The 7162-nt window shown below is 41.2% G+C and overlaps 1 annotated feature.

Annotated features, from left to right (window-relative positions):
- Positions 1179-1825: an enhancer, noted in NCBI's record as "OCT4-NANOG-H3K27ac-H3K4me1 hESC enhancer chr4:11067600-11068246 (GRCh37/hg19 assembly coordinates)". NCBI's record gives its function as "activates a minimal SCP1, AML or CMV promoter by ChIP-STARR-seq in primed H9 embryonic stem cells {active_cell/tissue: H9 hESC(primed)}" and the evidence as "EXISTENCE:reporter gene assay evidence [ECO:0000049][PMID:30033119]".

The raw sequence follows: 7162 nt of genomic DNA, 5'->3' as shown, positions 1-7162 counted from the left end.
TGAGTTAAATGTCCTTAAGAATGTCATTTTACAAATTAGGAGATGAAGACACAGAGAGGTGAAGTAAACTGTCTGAGGTCACACAGCTAAGAAGTATTAGAGTCTGGATTTCAGCAAGACAGTCTGGCCTCATAGCCTACACTCATAACCTTCTTAATCCTTGTCATGGGTTAAAAATTGTTCCCACACTTTGAAGTTCTAACCTCCAATACCTCAGAATGTGATTTTATTTGGAAACAGGGTCATTGCAGATGTAATTAATTAAGAGGGAGACATGCTGAAGTAGGGTGGGCCTCTAGTCCAAAATAACCAGTGTTATTGTAAAAAGAGAAAATGTGGACACCTGCAATGAGAACATCATGTGAAGATGAAGGAGGGAGTGGGATGATGCTTCTACAAGCCAAGGGATGCCAAGAACCACCAGCAGCTAAAAAGAGACAAGGAAGGATTCTCCACTGCAAATTTCAGAGAGAGCTTGGTTTTCCCAACATCTTGCTTTCAGAGCTTTAGCCTCCAGAATTGTGATAAAATACACTTCTACTGTTTGGAGCCACCCAGTTTGTGGTACTTTGTCATGGCAGACCTAATCTAATGCAATCTTGATCTCCACTGTGGAGATCAACTGATTTATTTTTAGCTTATAGATGACATGAATCATATAACCAACCCTGTCTTACTTTTCTTTAGTTCTCAGGAAGCTCAGAACAAGGTAAAAATTATAGGGCTTTAGGGGGTGCATTCTACTACCTAAATGTCTCTACCTAAACCCTAGCATTCCAGCTGTATTTTACCTTTATTCCAATATCCTTATTTATAGAAATCTTATTGTATCGCATGCAGGTTTTTTAAAAACTTACTTTTGAAGATGGCCGAATAGGAACAGCTCTGGTCTACAGCTCCCAGCGTGAGCGACGCAGAAGACGGGTGACTTCTGCACTTCCATCGTAGGTACCGGGTTCATCTCACTAGGAAGTGCCAGACAGCAGGCACAGGTCAGTGGGTGCGCGCACTGTGCGCGAGCCGAAGCAGGGCGAGGCATTGCCTCACTTGGGAAGTGCAAGGGGTCAGTGAGTTCCCTTTCTGAGTCAAAGAAAGGGGTGACAGACGGCACCTGGAAAATCGGGTCACTCCCCCCGAATACTGCGCTTTTCCAACGGGCTTAAAAAACGGAGCACCACAAGATTATATCCCGCACCTGGCTCGGAGGGTCCTACACCCACGGAGTCTCGCTGATTGCTAGCACAGCAGTCTGAGATCAAACTGCAAGGCGGCAGCAAGGCTGGGGGAGGGGCGCCTGCCATTGCCCAGGCTTGATTAGGTAAACAAAGCAGCCAGGAAGCTCCAACTGGGTGGAGCCCACCACAGCTCAAGGAGGCCTGCCTGCCTCTGTAGGCTCCACCTCTGGGGGCAGGGCACAGACTAACAAAAAGACAGCAGTAACCTCTGCAGACTTAAATGTCCCTGTCTGACAGCTTTGAAGAGAGCAGTGGTTCTCCCAGCACGCAGCTGGAGATCGGAGAATGGGCAGACTGCCTCCTCAAGTGGGTCCCTGATCCCTGACCCCTGACCCCCGGGCAGCCTAACTGGGAGGCACCCCCCAGCAGGGGCACACTGACACCTCACACGGCAGGGTATTCCAACAGACCTGCAGCTGAGGGTCCTCTCTGTTAGAAGGAAAACTAACAAACAGAAAGGACATCCACACCAAAAACCCATCTGGACATCACCATCATCAAAGACCAAAAGTAGATAAAACCACAAAGATGGGGAAAAAACAGAACAGAAAAACTGGAAACTCTAAAAAGCAGAGCGCCTCTCTTCCTCCAAAGGAACGCAGTTCCTCACCAGCAACGGAACAAAGCTGGATGGAGAATGACTTTGACGAGCTGAGAGAAGAAGGCTTCAGACGATCAAATTACTCTGAGCTACGGGAGGACATTCGAACCAAAGGCAAAGAAGTTGAAAACTTTGAAAAAAATTTAGAAGAATGTATAACTAGAATAACCAATACAGAGAAGTGCTTAAAGGAGCTGATGGAGCTGAAAACCAAGGCTCGAGAACTATGTGAAGAATGCAGAAGCCTCAGGAGCCGATGCGATCAACTGGAAGAAAGGGTATCAGCGATGGAAGATGAAATGAATGAAATGAAGTGAGAAGCGAAGTTTAGAGAAAAAAGAATAAAAAGAAATGAGCAAAGCCTCCAAGAAATATGGGACTATGTGAAAAGACCAAATCTACGTCTGATTGGTGTACCTGAAAGTGATGGGGAGAATGGAACCAAGTTGGAAAACACTCTGCAGGATATTATCCAGGAGAACTTCCCCAATCTAGCAAGGCAGGCCAACGTTCAGATTCAGGAAATACAGATAACACCACAAATATACTCCTCGAGAAGAGCAACTCCAAGACACATAATTGTCAGATTCACCAAAGTTGAAATGAAGGAAAAAATGTTAAGGGCAGCCAGAGAGAAAGGTCGGGTTACCCTCAAAGGGAAGCCCATCAGACTAACAGCAGATCTCTCGGCAGAAACCCTACAAGCCAGAAGAGAGTGGGGGCCAATATTCAACATTCTTAAAGAAAAGAATTTTCAACCCAGAATTTCATATCCAGCCAAACTAAGCTTCATAAGTGAAGGAGAAATAAAATACTTTACAGACAAGCAAATGCTGAGAGATTTTGTCACCACCAGGCCTGCCTTACAAGAGCTCCTGAAGGAAGCACTAAACATGGAAAGGAACAACCAGTACCAGCCGCTGCAAAATCATGCCAAAATGTAAAGACCATCGAGACTAGGAAGAAACTGCATCAACTAACGAGCAAAATAACCAGCTAACATCATAATGACAGGATCAAATTCACACATAACAATACTAACTTTAAATGTAAATGGACTAAATGCTCCAATTAAAAGACACAGACTGGCAAATTGGATAAAGAGTCAAGACCCATCAGTGTGCTGTATTCAGGAAACCCATCTCACGTGCAGAGACACACATAGGCTCAAAATAAAAGGATAGAGGAAGATCTACCAAGCCAATGGAAAACAAAAAAAGGCAGGGGTTGCAATCCTAGTCTCTGATAAAACAGACTTTAAACCAACAAAGATCAAAAGAGAAAAGAAGGCCATTACATAAAGGTAAAGGGATCAATTCAACAAGAAGAGCTAACTATCCTAAATATATATGCACCTAATACAGGAGCACCAAGATTCACAAAGCAAGTCCTGAGTGACCTACAAAGAGACTTAGACTCCCACACATTAATAATGGGAGACTTTAACACCCCACTGTCAACATTAGACAGATCAACGAGATGGAAAGTCAACAAGGATACCCAGGAATTGAACTCAGCTCTGCACCAAGCAGACCTAATAGACATCTACAGAACTCTCCACCCCAAATCAACAGAATATACATTTTTTTCAGCACCACACCACACCTATTCCAAAATTGACCACATACTGGGAAGTAAAGCTCTCCTCAGCAAATGGAAAAGAACAGAAATTATAACAAACTATCTCTCAGACCACAGTGCAATCAAACTAGAACTCAGGATTAAGAATCTCACTCAAAACCGCTCAACTACATGGAAACTGAACAACCTGCTCCTGAATGACTACTGGGTACATAACGAAATGAAGGCAGAAATAAAGATGTTCTTTGAAACCAACGAGAACAAAGACACAACATACCAGAATCTCTGGGATGCATTCAAAGCAGTGTATAGAGGGAAATTTATAGCACTAAATGCCCACAAGAGAAAGCAGGAAAGATCCAAAATTGACACCCTAACATCACAATTAAAAGAACTAGAAAAGCAAGAGCAAACACATTCAAAAGCTAGCAGAAGGCAACAAATAACTAAAGTCAGAGCAGAACTCAAGGAAATAGAGACACAAAAAACCCTTCAAAAAATTAGTGAATCCAGGAGCTGGTTTTTTGAAAGGATCAACAAAATTCCTAGACCGCTAGCAAGACTAATAAAGAAAAAAAGAGAGATGAATCAAGTAGATGCAATAAAAAATGATAAAGGGGATATCACCACCAATCCCACAGAAATACAAACTACCATCAGAGAATACTACAAACACCTCTACGCAAATAAACTAGAAAATCTAGAAGAAATGGATAAATTCCTCGACACATACACTCCCCCAAGACTAAACCAGGAAGAAGTTGAATCCCTGAATAGACCAATAACAGGATCTGAAATTGTGGCAATAATCAATAGCTTACCAACCAAAAAGAGTCCAGGACCAGATGGATTCACAGCCGAATTCTACCAGAGGTACAAGGAGGAACTGGTACCATTCCTTCTGAAACTATTCCAATCAATAGAAAAAGAGGGAATCCTCCCTAACTCATTTTATGAGGCCAGCATCATTCTGATACCAAAGCCAGGCAGAGACACAACCAAAAAAGAGAATTTTAGACCAATATCCTTGATGAACACTGATGCAAAAATCCTCAATAAAATACTGGCAAAACGAATCCAGCAGCACATCAAAAAGCTTATCCACCATGATCAAGTGGACTTCATCCCTGGGATGCAAGGCTGGTTCAATATACACAAATCAATAAATGTAATCCAGCATATAAACAGAGCCAAAGACAAAAACCACATGATTATCTCAATAGATGCAGAAAAAGCCTTTGACAAAATTCAACAACCCTTCATGCTAAAAACTCTCAATAAATTAGGTATTGATGGGACGTATTTCAAAATAATAAAAGCTATCTATGAAAAACCCACAGCCAATATCATACTGAATGGGCAAAAACTGGAAGCATTCCCTTTGAAAACTGGCACAACACAGGGATGCCCTCTCTCACCACTACTATTCAACATAGTGTTGGAAGTTCTGGCCAGGGCAATTAGGCAGGAGAAGGAAATAAAGGGTATTCGATTAGGAAAAGAGGAAGTCAAATTGTCCCTGTTTGCAGATGACATGATTGTATATCTAGAAAACCCCATTGTCTCAGCCCAAAATCTCCTTAAGCTGATAAGCAATTTCAGCAAAGTCTCAGGATACAAAATCAATGTACAAAAATCACAAGCATTCTTATACACCAACAACAGACAAACAGAGAGCCAAATCATGAGTGAACTCCCATTCACAATTGCTTCAAAGATAATAAAATACCTAGGAATCCAACTTACAAGGGATGTGAAGGACCTCTTCAAGGAGAACTACAAACCACTGCTCAAGGAAATAAAAGAGGATACAAATAAATGGAAGAACATTCCATGCTCATGGATAGGAAGAATCAATATCGTGAAAATGGCCATACTGCCCAAGGTAATTTACAGATTCAATGCCATCCCCATCAAGCTGCCAATGACTTTCTTCACAGAATTGGAAAAAACTACTTTAAAGTTCATATGGAACCAAAAAAGAGCCCGCATCGCCAAGTCAATCCTAAGCCAAAAGAACAAAGCTGGAGGCATCACACTACCTGACTTGAAACTATACTACAAGGCTACAGTAACCAAAACAGCATGGTACTGGTACCAAAACAGAGATATAGACCAATGGAACAGAACAGAGCCCTCAGAAATAACGCCGCATATCTACAACTATCTGATCTTTGACAAACCTGAGAAAAACAAGCAATGGGGACAGGATTCCCTATTTAATAAATGGTGCTGGGAAAACTGGCTAGCCATATGGAGAAAGCTGAAACTGGATCTCTTCCTTACACCTTATACAAAAATCAATTCAAGATGGATTAAAGACTTAAATATTAGACCTAAAACCATAAAAACCCTAGAAGAAAACCTAGTCATTACCATTCAGGACATAGGCATGGGCAAGGACTTCATATCCAAAACACCAAAAGCAATGGCAACAAAAGACAAAATTGACAAATGGGATCTAATTAAACTAAAGAGCTTCTGCACAGCAAAAGAAGCTACCATCAGAGTGAACAGGCAACCTACAAAATGGGAGAAAATTTTCACAACCTACTCATCTGACAAAGGGCTAATATCCAGAATCTACAATGAACTCAAACAAATTTACAAGAAAAAACAAACAACCCCATCAAAAAGTGGGCAAAGGACATGAACAGACACTTCTCAAAAGAAGACATTTATGCAGCCAAAAAACACATGAAAAAATGTTCATCATCACTGGCCATCAGAGAAATGCAAATCAAAACCACAATGAGATACCATCTCACACCAGTTAGAATGGCAATCATTAAAAAGTCAGGAAACAACAGGTGCTGGAGAGGATGTGGAGAAATAGGAACACTTACACTGTTGGTGGGACTGTAAACTAGTTCAACCATTGTGGAAGTCAGTGTGGCGATTCCTCAGGGATCTACAACTGGAAATACCATTTGACCCAGCCATCCCATTACTGGGTATATACCCAAAGGACTATAAATCATGCTGCTATAAAGACACATGCACACATATGTTTATTGTGGCATTATTCACAATAGCAAAGAGTTGGAACCAACCCAAATGTCCAACAGTGATAGACTGGATTAAGAAAATGTGGCACATATACACCATGGAATACTATGCAGCCATAAAAAATGATGAGTTCATGTCCTTTGTAGGGACATGGATGAAATTGGAAATCATCATTCTCAGTAAACTATCGCAAGAACAAAAAACCAAACACCGCATATTCTCACTCATAGGTGGGAACTGAACAATGAGATCACATGGACACAGGAAGGGGAATATCACACTCTGGGGACTGTTGTGGGGTGGGGGGAGGGGGGAGGGATAGCATCGGGAGATATACCTAATGCTAGATGACGAGTTCGTGGGTGCAGCCCACCAGCATGGCACATGTATACATATGTAACTAACCTGCACATTGTGCACACGTACCCTAAAACTGAAAGTATAATTAAAAAAAAAAAAAAAAAGTGAAATGGAGAAAGCAAGAAGCCATTCCTCCTGGGACTGCTACAAGAATGAATGAGCTGTACATGTGGAATTCATAGAGCAGAGCCTGACACCAGCAAGCATTTGTAAGCATGTAAAATGTGATTATTAAGACTTCTGAAAAAATAGGCTCTGTGAGTAAGCAAATAAGATTTTTAAAATAATGATTCAATAAACTTACCTGACATCCAAAAAAAAAAAAACTTACTTTTAATTTTAAAATTAGTTTTAAATTTGAACTTTTAAAATATTA

This window comes from Homo sapiens, chromosome 4 (assembly GCF_000001405.40).
Source record: "Homo sapiens chromosome 4, GRCh38.p14 Primary Assembly".
Classification (NCBI taxonomy): domain Eukaryota; kingdom Metazoa; phylum Chordata; class Mammalia; order Primates; family Hominidae; genus Homo; species Homo sapiens.
This window is presented reverse-complemented; position numbering and strand designations above follow the sequence as displayed.